This window comes from Homo sapiens, chromosome 12 (assembly GCF_000001405.40).
Source record: "Homo sapiens chromosome 12, GRCh38.p14 Primary Assembly".
In the NCBI taxonomy this organism is placed as follows: Eukaryota; Metazoa; Chordata; class Mammalia; order Primates; family Hominidae; genus Homo; species Homo sapiens.
In genome coordinates, this window is record NC_000012.12 from 7,371,837 (window position 1) to 7,389,486 (window position 17,650).

A 17,650-nucleotide genomic window follows, 5' to 3' on the forward strand; every position below is an offset into this window, starting at 1 on the left:
GCACAAATATGCAAGCATAACATTTTGCAATAAAATATATGAATATATATAAAATATATACACACATATGATACTCAAGAGTGTAATATCAGCTAATATATCATCAACTGATCATGGTATTATAGGTGATATCTGTGTTTTTTTCCATGATTTCTGGGTTTTTTTCAAATTTTTTGTTTGGGGAATGATATTATTTTGTGATACAATTACAATAGTAAAAAGAAGCAAAATGCTTAAAAATATGAACCACAAACAGACAATATTCATAAATAATGTCCATATCCACTACTAACCAAACCCATGCAAATTATGTTGATTTAGGTGAAATTTTAATTTGGGAAGGTATGTGTATGTCTGTGTATATGTTTCTCTCTGTGTGTAACATTGGTGGGAAGGGTGAAATAAAATCAATGCTCTCATATACTGGGGATAAGAATGAAAACTAATACATAGGCTTTCTGCTGGAGCAATTAACTACTACATATAAAGAATCATAAAAATGTTCACTCATTTTACCCACTCATTTTGGGACTAGAAATATAACCTTCAGATATAATCAGAGATTCACCGAAAATGAATAAGGATGCTTATAATGGCATTATTTATACTAGTTTGACATTGAGAAATAGCCTTAATACCAATAATCACATGGTTATTTATGTTCACATGATAAAATATTGTATGCCATTTGAAGGCTATTCATTGAAATTAGAATATATTTACAGTATACTTTTACATATAAAAGTAGGATACAGATATCCTAAATATAGTGTAACACTACATTACATGCATATATATCATACTATATATACATATACATATATAGTATCTATATTTCATATACACATTTCATATACACAATCATAACTTTAAGTTTTTGTACAAAAGGAAGACTAATAGTTAATGTTTCTGAATATTAGTAATGGTTATTTTTGATAATCAGATTAAACGTGGAATGCATTTTATTATTTATAATTGTACAATTTCTAAAATCTCTACAATAAACATATTAAATTTTAATCAAATAAGACAATTTACAAGTGTCTTATAAATAATCAACTAACTTCCCATAGTAAAATGTTCTGCAGGAAAAAATAGAGCTGCTTAATCTCCATAATTAATTCACATTTCCTCAAAAGTTCTGAGCTTTCTAGAATTTCTAAGACAGTATACATATTATATTTTTCATTTTTTAAAACACTGTAATTTTTTATGTGTTGTTATCCTTTTATGTGCTTTCATCCAGCTTCTCACAAGGAGCTTAAAGGAATCAAAAGAGACAATATACATTTTTAAATACCCTGTAAAATACTAAACCAAAATAATAAAATTTCAATATAGAACAGATGCGATAAATCAGCACTTATTGTCATGCACTTTTCAGTGAGTCTGCCATGTGCTCCTGAATGGAAAGATTTGCTATTTATGGTAAGTTATATTTCACAGGGCTTCAGTGACAGCTGGTGTTTAGAAAGATACCCACCTTCACATGTGATCCAGGTCTCTTCTGCTGGGCTGGAGATTCTTCGCTCCCATGGGGCAGACAGGCACTGCCATATGGAGATATGCGTTTTAGGACACTGAATGTCATCCACCCACATGAAACCAGAGCCTGTCTTAGATAAAGGGGCGAGGCTGACAACTCCATTCTCCCCACAGCCCAGCTGCCTGCACACAATGCCTGCTATGGCTGTGGTGATGTTCCTCCTGCCGACGCTGCCCCAGGTCCCGTTATAGAAGACTTCCAATCTCCCAGCACAGCTCTCTGTTTCAGTTTCACTGTAGAGCCTCAAGGCTGTGAATTCTACAGAGAAATACAAAACTTAGTATTAAATATTTCCTTTGGAGTTGGAAAATCCCTCCCCAAGGAATCCATTTTTCCCATGGAAATAATACATTAGGGCTCACAATACAATTTCATAAATCACTCTAACATATTAACAGCATAAATCTGATGGAAACTAAGGGTCTTGTAAGATTTCAGGATGAGTGTGGGTTTCCCAAGAATAGTATTTGAGCTTTAAATTTGTATCAACTTAAGTTAAAATGCAACCTTCTACATTCTACTCTCGAACATAAATTCAATTCAGAAAATAATCAGGAGGTTAACCTCATTTGCAGGGGTGTCCAAGGGAGAGGATACAGTTATGGGTTCTTAGTTTCTGCTTCTGGTCAGGTTAGTAAAGACCCTTCCTCATCCCTCTTTCCTCTTACCACTAGAGACAGAAACTAATAACCATGGCTTCAGGCTACTAAAAGCCTAAAATAAAACAAAACAAAACAACAAAATAAGGCAGATTGGACACGGTTGACAGTGTGTTCTCAGAGCCAGAGTGGATGTCATGTAAGGTCCCTTTCTTGGGGTCTAACATTCTCTGACAGTAAGACCAATCTTTTATTCTTCTCAGTTATGAATGATACCCAGACAAATGTAATATGACAAGGGTATTAAGAAATCAGTATAAGAGAATAGGATTAAAACCAAGTGGATTTTTTGTTTGTATTCCTAGGCCATACACTTTTCACTACACTTTACAATTGTGTTGTGTGTGTGCAAGTGTGTGCACGTGTGTGTAGAGGAGGGTGAAAAGGTAGCAGCACAGACCTGAGCAGATGACCCCTGCGTCCTCCTTGTGCCTGCAGTCGTGCTGCCCCCAGCCGCGGGAAGGGCACTGCCACAAGTGGGACTCCATTCCTGTGCAGTTCAGGTCATCCAGCCAGATGGGCCCTGACCCCTCCCCAAAGTGAGCAGAGACCGTGGCATTGAAGGCCACTCCACAGCCCAGCTTTTGACACACCACGTGGGCATCGCTCAGGTCCCAGCCGTCATCACAGATGGTGCCCCAGAAGCCGTCGTGATAGATCTCTACTCTCCCGGCACAGCGGCTGTCCCCATCCACTAGGCGGAGCCGTTTGTCCTCTTAGAGGAGAAAGTCCAGTTAATAGGTCACATTCTTTAGAGTTGCAGTGTTTCCTAAAACTGATTCTGCTTACCTAAGCAGATCAAAGCACTGCCCTCTGGAACTGCAGACAAATATGGGTCAGATACATTTGCGAGGCATGGAAACAGTGGCTGGGTCAGGCTTCCTGGTGGAGGGTGCAGGAAATGGGGCAAAAGTAAGACCAAAATACATGGAAAAGGTTGAAGAGTTCTGTAACAACATGGAATCTGCAATTGTGATAAGGACTTTTCAAACCCTGTCGTCTATTGAAATCATTTTTATTAATGATGTCTACTCGTAAATCCCAAACACAGAGGTGTTAACTTCCCCTTAGGAATGGTCCTAGTTATCATTATTTCTTACATGTTACTCTTTGACTGTCATGCCTATCCCCCCTCCACCTGCACCCCCATTTTCTTACTCATCTTTCCTTTAATCCCAACTCCCTCTACCATGTCTGGGCTATATTGACAGTAGTTAACCATAAGCACTATTCTCTTACCTGTGCAGATCACAGAGACAGTATTTCCATGGATACAGGGAGGTGCTCCAAGAACTGTCATTTGACAGTTATCCAGAAGTGACTCATTCCCTAAGCAATGAAACCTGTGTCCCCACACACGAACACTTCTTTCTCCAATATATTTTCCTCCTGTGGTTGAGAGAGCAGTCCCACAGCTGAGCTGTCTGCATAGAACACGGGCATCTTCTGGGTCCCAGTGGGTGTCACACAGTGAGCCCCAGTGTCCAAGCACGTTGATCTCCACTTGCCCGTCACACTGGGATTTGCCATTCACAAGTCGGACATCTGTATATCCTAGGAGGAGACAAGGCCATAGAAGAGACATCATGACTTATCAGCTCCAGCCCCAAACTCCCCATCTCTAGCCCCAGCCAATTAAGATTATTTAAAAATCTCACGGGAACAGACAACTCCAACTTCTCTGCTGTGGATACAAGTGTCTTCCGGATGTTGAACAATGGGGCATAATGCAAGGTGAGTTTCACTCCCTTCACACTGGAACTTTTCGGCCCAAGTTAGACCATTCCCTTTTCCAAAGTGATCTCCCACAGAAAGAGATATGGCATCTCCACAGTTTAATTCTCTGCACAGCACATTGGCAGCATGAAGAGAGAAATCAGAATCACAGACAGAGCGCCATGTGTCTGCATGTTTCACTTCAACACGTCCAGAGCAGGGCATATCAGCTCCAACCAGCCTGGGCTGCCTGTGGGCTATAAAATAATATTTCAAAGGTTAGTTTTTAGGGTTTTCCAATATCTATCCCTGTCTCCAGTCTCCATATCTAACCCCAGAGCAATTTTTCTCCATTCATCATTAGAACATCCCATTCGTAGGGGCTCAGAGGACAAGATTAGCAGTACAGACTTAAATTCACAGATCTGGATTACATACCTATTTTCTATGTCTTGGTGACCCACCAATCCTAGATTTAGAACTCATCAGAAGGAAATGAATTGCACAATTTGTTTACATTAAAAAAATACTAAGTAACCTCAGCATTAAACAACACGTGAAGATTTGTAGTCATCTTAAGAAGATGGTGTAATATAAGAATAGAAAGACTTCTACTTACTGGTTAGATCCCAGCAATCCATCTAAATGAGTAATTTATAAACAACAAAAAAATACTGCCCATTATTCTGACTCTATTCTTTGCAGCAAAGCTACTTATATTAGTAATGTATGTTATCTGTCTCCAACCCAGGCATTTTTCCAAACTCCTGACTCATTTATCCAATTTCTACTTAGCATTTCCATTTGGATTTCTTATAGATATCTCAATGTGAATTCTTTGGAGTCCTTTCAAACATCTATCTAAGGCTGCAGACTTCCATATTTCTATTGATGGAACTCCATCATTCCAGACATTCAAATATTTTGAAATAATTCTTGACTTCCATTACATACTATATCTCGCCTTTCAGAAAGTTTTGTTTTCTGTATTTTCAAAGTATGCCCATAATCCCAAAACTTCTCACCCCTTCAACCCTAGCGCCTTGATTGAGCCACCATCATTACTTGCCTGAGTTACTATAATAGATTCCTACAGATTCCCTGTTTCTATAATTATTCCTCTATAGTTCATCTTTTAAAAAAATAAAAATCCAGAGAGGTTATTTAAAATGATGTATCAGGTTAAATCAGTATTCTGCCCCAAATCCTCCCATGACTCCATATTTCACTCAGAGTAAAAATCTAAACTCCTACGAAGACCTGCTTGTCCCTGAGTGACCTTCCCCTGCTCATTTACCCCTTTTGGTGCCAGGTCCTGATGTTTTACTTACTGCTCTTCAGCTGCATTGGATTCCTTTCTCTTCTTCAAACATATCAGGCATAATCTTGCCCCAAGGCTTTTGAACTGGCTGTATCTCTATTTGTATTTTCCTTCTGCGTATATGCATATAACTGACTCTCCCATGACCTTCGAGTCTTTGTCTATGTTTCACCTTTTCAGTAAGGCCTACCCCAGTCATTTTATTTGGAATTTCATTCTGTCCCATAAACACTCTGGATTCTATTTTCTAGTTCTATTTTTTCCTATAGCCTCTAACATCAGCTAATAGCATATATTTTACTTCATCACAGAAAGTGATGTTCTTTTGAACAGCACTACTCTAGAATCTCCTATCAATAAAAAAAATTGAGTAACTCCCCTGAAGATTATATTCCTTTTTAGTCATCACCTTATTTATTTCTTCCCCTTAAAATACAGCTTTTTGGAAATAGTCTATGCCTATTATCCCAACATCTTTACCTCCCATTTCCTTCTCAACTTGAAATGATCTCCTTTTTCTAATGTGACATAACTACTTTTATTAAATTTATTCATGACTTCTCTGTAGCTAAGCTTAGTGGAAATTGTTCAGTTTCATCTATATTGGCCTCTTAGGGCTTTTTTGGAATTGATGTCCCCATCTTTTTGAAACATCTTCCCTTGGCTTTAGCGATGTGACATTCTGCCACCACTGTTCCTCAGTATGCTTTTCCAACTTCTTTTATGTCAATAAACTATTAAATACTATTGTTCCTCAGGGCTAAGAGCTCCTCTTTCTTGAATCTAGGCTTTAAAAATTCTCAATTTACATTTTATTCCTAGATTTAGTTTCCGTCTACATATGTAGGACTCTAATAGTTATATCTCCATTCAATACAAGTCTTCTGATCATCTAAATCTCATATCCAATTTCCTCCAACCCTCTTCATTTGATGACTGCTTTACTATTACCTCATATTTCACACATACAAAATTGGACTCATCATCCCACCCTCTCTAAACTGCTCCTCTTCCAAGATTATCTTTCCAGATGATGACACTGCAGTGCACCCATCTGCTTAGTCTAGAAACCTTTATCTTTATTTCCACATTCAGTGTATTCAGTTCTGCTGGTTTCAGCTACTAAATATTTCTGAAATTTGGAAGCTTTTCACCAGCTCCACAGTGAGCATCCTAATCAAAATTCCGTATCTTCCCTAGAATTATTCAACAGCATGACTCCCGGCATCCAATAGCCTCCTCTCTCCAATGCACACACAGACACACACATAAACACACACACACACCCCACACTGCAGCCAGAGTGCTGTCTTTGAAATGCAAGTTGTATCATGCTTACAACCTTCAATGATTTATCATTCACTTTAGAATAAAGTTCACAATTCCTACTCCATAAATAACCTTTCCCTTGCCTACATATCAAGACTTTATTATAAGTTTTCCCCCTTCTTCACTTGGATCTAATACCTCTTCTTTCAACCATCTTTTAGTTCCTGGAATAACACAAGCTTATTCCCAGGTGTGTTACTCGAATAAAATACTACTGTTTAAATTAATCTTCCCAACACTTCTTCATATGATTAAATCTTACCTGTCCTTCACATCTTTCCTTAACTATCACTTCACAGAAATATTCTCCGACTCTGCAAATAGGTAATATCTTCTAATTATGCCTTCTCATTTCATCTTGTGCTTCTACTTCACGCAATTTTAAATAAACAGTTATTTAATTATATATTTTTATTATATACCTGTCTTCTAGATAGAGGGTAGGATTACTTTTATCTAGTTCATTTACTTTTGACCTAATACTGTTAAATAGCCACTTCATAAACACGTATTAAATAAGTGCAAAAATAAATAATTAAATAAATGTGTTTATCTTTGTCCAGAAATTACCTGAGCAGATCAAACTTGCTTCCATATTTAAATGACACGCAGTCTGTTTCCACTCCCATCGTATACAATCCCAGAGAGAGGCTTCCCCTCCAGTGCAGCCAGAATTCGACATTAAGATGTGTAATGTTCTTTCTGTGAAATGAGGCTCTCTGGAGACCCTGATTGCAGACCCACATTCAAGTTGCCTGCAAACAACTTCAGCAATGTTCATTCCCCAGCCATTAGCACACAGAATTCCCACGGCACCCTGGACATTCACCTCAACTTTTCCAGCACACCTGCTGCTTCCACCCACAAGCCTCAGCTCCATATCCGATGCATCTGAAACCAAATACCACAATGATTTTAGAGAAGCACTCTATGTGAGACATTAAAGATTCTTATCCATTCCTGTACACTAACATAGACCAGTGGCCAAAAGTTGAGAGATTGTTTAGGTCCCGGCTTCACCAGTGTTTAATTTTATTTTTTACTTTCCTTCAAACTTAATTTTCCTTTTTATTGGATAAAAAATAAAATAACAAAAGTACACCAAGGTATGTTTCAATCCATGAACATTTCTGGCTTACAAAGCAAGGATATAGTTTTACTTACAAAATCTTATCAGAGACTTAGGATAAAAAATAGTGTTACTTAATGGCCCTAATTCTTGCCTGAATATTTGAAGAATTACATATTACATGTTAGATACTAAAGAGAATGTTAGGAAGAGGTGATATAATTTAATGAAAAGTCAAGGAAAAACTGCATAGGGCTGTGATATTACCAAATCCAGAAAAATGGAGAAACTTGCCTATTAGTGATGCCAAATGAAGTAATTCTAAAAAGAAATTGGAGCTCGGGAAAAGAAAACACAAAATTCACTGTATGTGAGAAGAGGAGTAGGTAAGTTTTTTTTTTTTTAATGAAAAATGCTCATCATCACTAATGATCAGGAAAATGCAAATCAAAACCACAATGCAATGCCACTTTACTCCTGCAAGAATGGCCATAACCAAAAAATCAAAAAAGAATAGAGTTTTCATGGATGCAGTGGAAAGGGAACACTTCTACACTGCTGGTGGGAATGTAACTAGTACAACCGCTATGAAAAACAGTGGAGATTCTTTAAAGAACTAAAAGCAGAGCTACCATTTGATCCAGCAATCCCACTACTAGGTATCTACCCAGAGGAAAATAAGTCATTATCTGAAAAAGATACTTGCACACGCATGTTTATAGCAGCATAAATCGCAATTGCAAAAATATGGAACCAGCCCAAATGCCCATCAATCAACAAGTGGATAAAGAAACTGTGGTGTGTGTGTGTGTGTGTGTGTGTGTGTATACACATATACATACATATATGTATGTATACACGTATACATACATGTATGTGTGTATACGCGTATACATACATGTATGTGTGTATATGCGTATACACACATGTATGTGTGTATATATATACACATGATGGAATACTACTCAGCCATAAAGAGGAATGAATTAATGGCATTCACAGCAACATGGATGGAATTGAAGACTATTATTCTAAGTGAAGTAACTCAGGAATGGAAAACCAAATATTGTATGTTCTCACTCATAAGTGGGGGGCTAAGCTATGACGATGCAAAGACATAAGAATAATACAATGGACTTTGAGGACTCAGGGGAAAGGGTACGAGGGGTTTGAGGAAGAAAAGACTACAAATTGGGTTCAGTGTATACTGCTTGGGTGATGAGTGCATCAAAATCTCACAAATCAAAACTAAAGAACTTACTCATGTAACTATTACCATCTGTTCCCTAAAAACCTATGGAAATAAAAAACTTTTTAAAAAAGAGGAAACGAAGAATTAAATCAGAAATTAATTCTGAGCCTAATTGAAAGAGTCAGCTTTTGAAGGAAATTTTTAGCAGTATTGACATAAAATGAAATGAATCTCATTCTAGAAAGGTTACTTTATCTTTTTAGGGCAGTTTGGTAGCTTTGAGTGTGCTGTGGCATAGTCTGTGAAACACAAATAATATTGCCTACTAATTTGAGAATATATCTAATTATATAACAATGTAATACTTCTTTATCTAATTAAAAACTATAAATGGTATCAGCTTCTTTTCTATTGTTTTAGTTAAAAATAAAAATTCACATTATTAAATGTCTATGTGATATCATACTATTTTTCTACTTTATATACTAAATTATATTAATAGGTTTATTAACTGCCTAATGTTGACAGATCTGACATGTCAGAAAATCAACTCTGACTTTGACCAGATCAAACCTGACCAAGTTACTTCCTATTGGCCTTGAGAAGAAGAAAAATATAATTAACGTGGTCTAGAGGACCTGGAAAGTCTGTCCTTTCCTATCACTTCAGTCCCACTTCCTGCCACTTATAAAACAGCTGAATGAAATTTTACTACATTGGTTATTTTGATATAATCTTGTGTAGATATGAGATGATTCTCTAAATAAAACTCCCATTCAGCAGAAAAATAGAGTTGTAATGTATTTCCATTTTAAGCCTATTTGTTACTCTGTGTCTTTGGAGCTCAGTGACAGGGTTTGTGAAACATGAGTCAAGATCTGTTTGTAATTGGCAGGAGTTTCAAAACAATAATCATGTGAGGGTGGTAGATCAGTCTTAGCAACTTTACCATAAAAGTAAAAAGAAATTTTTTTAAATGGGGTTTATTTTAGATACTGACGTTTAGAGAGCTATAATTTTGTGTGTGGTGGTGGGGAGGGTGGGGAGAATAAACATATATATCTTGTAGGAATCTCTATCAAAATTGAGATTCCCTGAAAAGGTGTCTAGAAACAGATGAACTTTCTTCATTAAATGAACTACTCTAAATATAAGGGAAAAACATATTTCACTGCTTTGTAGCAACATATTCCACTCTGAGAGAGAGTCTTAGGTGGAAAAACAGTTGCTGTAGGTGATTCAGCATAAAAAGGTGACATCATATTGACTTTTAGGTTTTTCTGAATTAAAAAAATATATATTTATATGTAATTGTTTTATATACATAATTATATATTTATATATAATGGTTTTATATAGAATTGTTTATATATAATTGTTTTATATATATAATTATTTTAAATATATATATACACACATAGAGATATATATATAATTCTCAATATGTAAAACAATTATTACCAATAAGAAAGTCTGTAGTTTACAATACAGATACAAGGACAGAGAAGAAAGGTGTGGGTAGTTTCTATGGATTGGAGTTGGGTCCCGTGTTCAGGAATCCTCAACTCTCTTATTGAAAGACACATTGATATTCATGATTATGGAGAGAAGAACTTTCCCTTAAAAGAGAATAGCTCAAGGGGGAGGCTTCAAGACGGCTACTAGAGGCACCCAACACTCACCACCAAAAACGATCAAAACAGCAAGTAGATAATTTCACAACGAATAGTGTCTAAGATAGAACACTGGAATCCAGCAGGGAAGTGATAGGGAACAGATCCTTCTGAGGCACAGAGAGAGAAAGAAGTGAAGCAATTGTCTGGCTAGGATTGACTGGAAGCCTGGTATGGATCCCCACTGTAGAAAAAGAATAAATGAGAGATTCCTAGCAGTCCACATTCCCACTGTGGGCCCTTGCAATCCTAGCCATGGGAGAGCCCCTCAGCTTCTGTGGGCTCTGAGACTAGTACAGGGAGCTGCCTAGAGTTTGCACAATAGCGTTGTTCCAGAGGGGGAGTTTGTGCTGGGTCCTACATCCCAATCCCCAACCCCAAGACCCAGGTAACTCCAGCATGGCACCATTTTGAGAGTCCAGCTCCCACAAGATTGCATCCTGTCCTGGGCCCCAGTAAGCCCTACATCTCTACATGTCTAGAGCCCCACTGATAACCTCCCTTATCCATCTGGAGGGCTGCAGTGGTGCCATGCTGGCTGGACTGGCAGTGTGTCTAGGTCCCCAGCCATCTATTCCACACAGTGTCTGATGTACTGGGAAATGGGTAGTTCACAGAGGAGTGTTCCCCCATGATAAAGAGAGCTGAAGCATCTCCCCAGAGCCTGAGAGCCACCTGTCTGGGGTCACTATCACTGATAGCAACCCCACTTCCTCGCAGCAGCAGGGACACTGTGCACTTTCATGAGCCTTCAGTGAGCCTGAAAATGGCTTGCCAGGATGCCATACAAGGACCTACATGGAGGTTTGCCCCACCTGCTACCACCTAAGCATGCCACCCAAAGGTCTGGAAATTGCCCTATTCCACTCACCATAGTCTGTCCCTGTGTGCAACATCAGTAGCCTTGAGGACAGACCTGCACTGCTGGGTGCCACCACTACCTCCAGCACCCACCTACATGTGCCACCTGGGGGCCTGGAGAATTGCCTGCCCAGCACTGCTAGCACCAGTGTATACCGGCTGGGAACCTGACAGTTGGCCTGACACCACTACTGCTATTGGTGACACCAGTCATGTTACCTAGGGGCCTGAGAACTTTCCCACCTGCCTAACTCAATGCTGCCACTGCTGGTAGATAAGCAAGCCACCTGGAAGCCCAAGAATTGACCCACCTAGATCAACTCACATTGGTGCTTGCATATGCCACCTAGGGTCCCATGGACAGTCATGGTCAGCCTGCTGCTACCACCACCACTGAGGCTCAAGGACTGGCTTGTCTGGTGTCCTTATTCCTAGCAAAGCTTCACAACAGCCTTAACTAATAGCCACAGTCTAAGCCAAAGAGGAAATCCCAGACACTCTTCACACTGATTATCACTGAAGAAATCATGGAGATTACACTATAGCATGCACCCAGGATCAAAGATAAACTGCCCTACCCAACCAACACTATAGCTATATCTACAACAAAAAGTTTTCCTCTATGAAAGCCAACCCCAAAATATGAAAGCAACGATTTTATACCAGATGCACAGATATCAATGTAAGGACACAAGAAACATAAAAAGGCAAGGAAACATGACACCTTCAAAGGAACACAATAATTTCTCCAGCACCACATTTCAGCAAAAAGAAAATGGATGAACTGCCTGAAAATAATTTTAAATAATGTTATTAAAGAATTTCAGTGAAACACACAAAAAAACACAGATAAATAATACAAATAAATTAGAAAAACAATTTAGGATGTTAATGAGAAATTCAACAAAGAAATATCATAAAAAAGAAACAAACAGAAATCATGGAATGAAATAATTCAATGAAAAACATAAAAAAAATCAAATAAAGCAGAAGAAAGAACTGCAGAACTTGAAGATAAATCTTTGAAATAACCTAGTAAAAGAAAAAGAAAGAAATTTTTTTTCAATTAAAAAACCTTTGCAACACATGGGACACCATAAGGTGACCAAATACTTGGATTCTGGGTGTTCCAGAAGGAGAAGAGATGGACAATGGCATAGAAAACTTATTTAATAAAATAATAGCTGAAACTTTCCAGGTTTTAAAAGATACTTAGATATCCAGATACAAGAAGCTGAAAGATCTCCAAATTGATACACCTCCTCCCACAAAATGTATTCTCCAAGGCACATTATACTCAAACTGTGAAAAGCCCAAGATAAAAAAATAATTTTAAATACAAGAAAAAGATGGCCACTCATGTGTGCAAGGAAACCCAGATCAGATGAATGGGGATTTCCCAGCAGAAATCTTACAGGCCAGGAAAGAAAGGTATGGTGTATTCAAAGTGCTAAAAGAAAAAAATGCCAGCCTAAAATATAATACCCAGCAAAGTTACCCTTCAAAAATGAAGGAGATATAAGGTCTTTCCCAGATAAGCAAAAAATGAGGAAATTCATCACCACTAGATTGGTCATACAAGAAACACTTAAGGAAATCTATATCTGGAAGTGTATATCATCATGAAAGCACATGAAAGTATAAAACTAAGCAGACAAATGAGAAAAAAAGGACCCAAATGTTACCACCATAGAAAACCACAAAACAGCAATAATAAATAATGAGAGAAGAAAATAAAGGATATATAAAACAACAAAAAACAGTGAATATAATGACAGAAATAAGTCCTCACCTATCAACAATAACCTTGAATGTAAATGAATTAAATTGTCCACTTAAAAGATATAGATTGGCTGAATGGATTAAAAAAAACAATGACCCAAATATATGCTTCCTAGAAGAAACTGACTTCAACTGTGAAAACAGACATAGACTGAAAGTGAAGGGATGGAAAAAGATATTCCATGTAAATGAAAACCAACAGCAAGTAGAAAAGTAGAAATAGCTATATTTATATCAGATAAAGTGAACTTTAAGTTAAAAACTGTAAAAAAAAAAAAAGACAATCATCATATAAAGATAAATTGATCAATTTATTAAGAGGCTATAACAATTCTAAATACATATACACCCAACAATGAAGCACTCAGACATATAAAGCAAATATTATTAGACCTGAAGGGAGAGAGTGACTCAATTACAATAATAGTTGGCACTTCAACTATTCATCTCAATATTGAACATATCATCTAGACAGAAAACCAATAAAGAAACATCAGATAGAAACTAGACTTTAGACCAAATATACCTAATGGACATTTACAGACTGTTTCACTCAACAGCTGTAGAATATACATTCTTTAAATCAGCACATAAAACGTTTTCCAGAATAGACCATATTCAAGGCCACAAAACAAGTCTCAACAAATTTTTAAAAATTACAATTATATAAAGTATCTTATCAGACCACAGTGGAATAAAATTGGAAATCAACGACAAGATAAATTTTGGAAACTGTAAAAATACATGGGAATTAAACATGTTCCTGAATGATCATTGAGTTAATTAAAAAATTAAGAAGGAAATGAAAATATTTCTTGAAACAAATGAAAATAGAAACACAACATACCAAAGCCTATGGGATACACCAATAGCACAGTTAAGAAGGCATTTATAATAAAAAAAGCAAAAAAGTAGAAAGATTTCAAATAAACAATCTAATGATGTATCACAACACACTAGAAAAGCAAGACCAAACCAAACCCAAAATGTGTAGGAAGAAAGAAGTAATATAGATCAGAGCAGAATTAAACAAAATAGAGCCTAAAAGCCAGTACAATCAATGAAACAAAAAGTTGACTTTTTGAAAAGATCAAACTTTTGCTAAAAGAAGAGTGAAGATTCAAATAAAAATCACAAACAAAAAGAGAAACATTACAACTGATAACACAGAAATACAAAAGATTATAAGAGCCAAATATGAGCAACGATACACTCACAAACTGGTAAATCTAGAAGAAAGGATAAATTCCTGTACACATACGATCTGCCCAAGATTAATCAAGGAAGAAATAGGAATCCTGAACAGATCAATCATGAGTAATTAGATTAAATCAATAATGAAAAGTCTCCAGACAAAGGAAACCCCAGGACTAGATGGCTTTACTGCTGACTTCTATCAAACTAATAAAGAAAATCTAACATCAATTCTTTTCAAACTATTCCAAAAAAATCAAAGAGGAGGGCATTCTTCCTAACTCATCCTAGGAGGCCAGTATTACCCTGATACCAAAACCAGAAAAGGAAGCAACAGAAAGAGAAAAATACAGGCCAATATCCTTGATGAACATAGATATAAAAACCCTCAACAAAATACCAGCAAGCCAAATCCGTCAACATATCAAAAAAAAAAAAAAAAACAGTATAGTCAAGTGGGATTTAGTCCAGGCATGCAAGGATGATTGAACATATGCAAATCAATAAAAGTGATACATTATATCAACAGAATGAATGACAAAAACCATATGATCACCTCAATAAATGTAGAAAAAGCATTTGATAAAATTCAACATCCCTTCATAATAAAAACTCTCAACAAACTAGGCATAGAAGGAACATACCTCAACATGAGAAAGGCCATATAGGACAAGCCTACAACTAACAATATAATGAATGGGGAAAAGTTTAAAGTCTTACCTATAAGAACTGGAAAAAGACAAGGATGCCCACTTTCACCACTGTTATTTAACATAGTACTGGAAGTCCTAGCCAGAGCAATCAGACAAGACAAAGAAATAAAAGTCATCCAAATCAGAAAAGAGAAAGTCAAATTGTCCATCTTTGCAGATGACATAATTGAATATTTAGAAAAACCTTAAGACTCCATAAAAATCTCTTAGAACTAATAAACAAATTCAGCAAAGTTACAGCATACAAAATCAACATACAAAAGTGAGTAGCATTTCTATACACCAATAACAAACTACTGAGAAAGACACCAAGAAGGCAATCTCATTTGCAAGAGCCACAAGAAAGAATAAAATAAAATATCTAGGAATACATTTAACCAAGGAGGTGAAAGACTTCTATGATGAAAATTACAAAACATTGATGAATGCAATTAAGGAAGACACAAACAAATGAAATGAAGAGACATCTCGTGCTTTTTGATTGGAAGAATTAATATTATTAAAATGATCATACTACATGATATAGTTTGGATGTTTGCCCCTCCAAATCTCATGTTGAAATTTGATTCTCAATGTCAGAGGTGAGGTCTAATGGGCAGTGTTTGCCTCCTGGTGGTGGATTGCTCATAATTGACTTGGGGCCATCCTTTTGATAATGAGTGAGTTGTTGCTCTATTAGTTCTCTTGATATCTGGCTGTTAAAAAGAGCCTGGTACCTCCTCTTCTCTCATCATGTGATGCTGGCTCCCCTTCCCCTTTTGCCATGCTACCTGAGGACCTCACCAGAGGCAGAGGCTGATGCCATGCTTGTTCAGTATTCAGACTGTGAGCCAAATAAACCTCTTTTCTTTATAAATTACCCAGCCTCGAGTATTCCTTTATAGCAATGCAAATGTACTAAGACACTACCCAGAACCTGAATAACCACAGCAACCCCAAGCAAGAAGAATAAATCTTGAGGCACATCATACTATCTACCTTCAAAATACACTACAAAGCTACAGTAACCAAAACAGCCTGCTATTGGTATGAAACAGACACATGGACAAATTAAACAGAATAGAGAACCTAGAAATAAGTCCATGTATTTGTAGCTGACTGATTTTTGACAAAGGCACCAAGAACATACATTGAGAGAAGGATCCCTCTTCAACAAATGATGCTGGGAAGACTGGATATCCACATGAAGAATGAAACCATACCCCTCTCTCACCATACATAAAAATCAAAGGAAAATGGATTAAATACTTAAATGTAACACATCAACCTATAAAACTACTAGAAGAAAACATTGGGAAAATACTCCAAGACATTGGTGGGCAAATATTTTATAGCTAACATTTCAAAAACACAGGCATCAAAACGAAAAGGAGACAAACTTTTAGACAAACTAAAAAGCTTCTACACAGCAAAGGGAACAATTAACAGAGTGAAAAGACATCCTGTTGAATAGGAGAAAGTATTTGCAAACAAACTCTTCATCTAACAGAGTGCTAATATCCAGAATATTTTAAAACTTGAATAACTCGACAGGAAAACAAAACAAATAACCCCATTACAAAGTGGGCAGGCTGGACATGGTGGCTCAAGCCTATAATCCCAGCATTTTGGGAGGCCAAGGAGGGCAGATCACTTGAGCCCGGGAGATTGAGACCAGCCTGGGCAACACGGTGAAACCCCATCTCTACAAAAAACTACAAAAATTGGCAGGGTGTGATGGCGCATGCCAGTGGTCCTAGCTACTTGGGGGACTGAGGTGGGAGGATTGCTTGAGCCCTGGAGGTCGAGGCTGCAGTGAGCTGAGATTGTGCCACTCCACCCCAGCCTGGACAACAGAGTGAGATCCAGTTTCAAAAAAAAAAAAAAACAAAGTGGGGGGGGCAAAGGATAGGAATAGACATGTATCAAAATAAGATAACAATATGGAGATTTCTCAAAAAACTAAAAATAGAACTTAATCATATGACCCAGAAATCCTATTTATCCAAAGGAAAGGAAATCAGTACACCAAAGGAATACCTCCATGTTGTTGCAAATCATTGAATCTCATTCTTTTTTGTCTGAATAGTACTCCTTTGTGTATATGTACCACATTTTCCTTAACCATTCATCTGTTGATGGACACTTAGATTGCTTCCAAATCTTAGCAATTGTAAACAGTGCTGCAACAAACATAGGAGTGCAGATATCTCTTTGATACATTGATTTCCTTTTTGGGGGTATATACCCAGCAATAGGATTGCTGAATCACATGGTAGCCCAATTTTTAGTTTTGTGAGGAACCTCCAAACTGTTCCCCACAGTGGTTGTACTAATTTACATTCTCACCAACAGTGTTCAAGGGTTCCCTTTTCTCCACATCCTCACCAACATTTGTTATTGCCTGTCTTTTGGACACAAACCATTTAACTGGGGTAATATGATATCTCATTGTATTTTTGATTTGCACTTCTCTGATGATCAATGATGTTGAGCACTTTTTCATATGCCTATTATGTTAAGTGAAACAAGCCAGGTACAGGAAGGCAAACATCGCATGCTCTCACTTATTTCTGGGATCTAAAAATCAAAACAATTGAACTCATGGACATAGAG

General features: G+C 37.0%; 1 protein-coding gene across 11 annotated transcripts in view; it reads right to left on the bottom strand.

The window, feature by feature from the left end:
* The window catches only part of CD163L1 (CD163 molecule like 1), a 125,386-nt gene that overhangs the window by 53,069 nt on the left and 54,667 nt on the right, over window positions 1-17,650 (bottom strand). For all 11 annotated transcript variants that reach the window (XR_931282.3, XR_007063068.1, XR_007063067.1 and 8 more), the window contains 6 exons: window positions 7,142-7,462; window positions 3,864-4,178; window positions 3,445-3,759; window positions 2,995-3,087; window positions 2,606-2,920; window positions 1,484-1,804 (listed from right to left, as the gene is read on the bottom strand). Coding sequence is in view for 8 of the 11 variants with exons in the window: in XM_011520616.2 (XP_011518918.1) it covers window positions 1,484-1,804; window positions 2,606-2,920; window positions 2,995-3,087; window positions 3,445-3,759; window positions 3,864-4,178; window positions 7,142-7,462 (1,680 nt within the window). In the remaining 3 variants the exon portion in view is untranslated. The remainder of the gene's footprint in view (window positions 1-1,483; window positions 1,805-2,605; window positions 2,921-2,994; window positions 3,088-3,444; window positions 3,760-3,863; window positions 4,179-7,141; window positions 7,463-17,650) is intronic.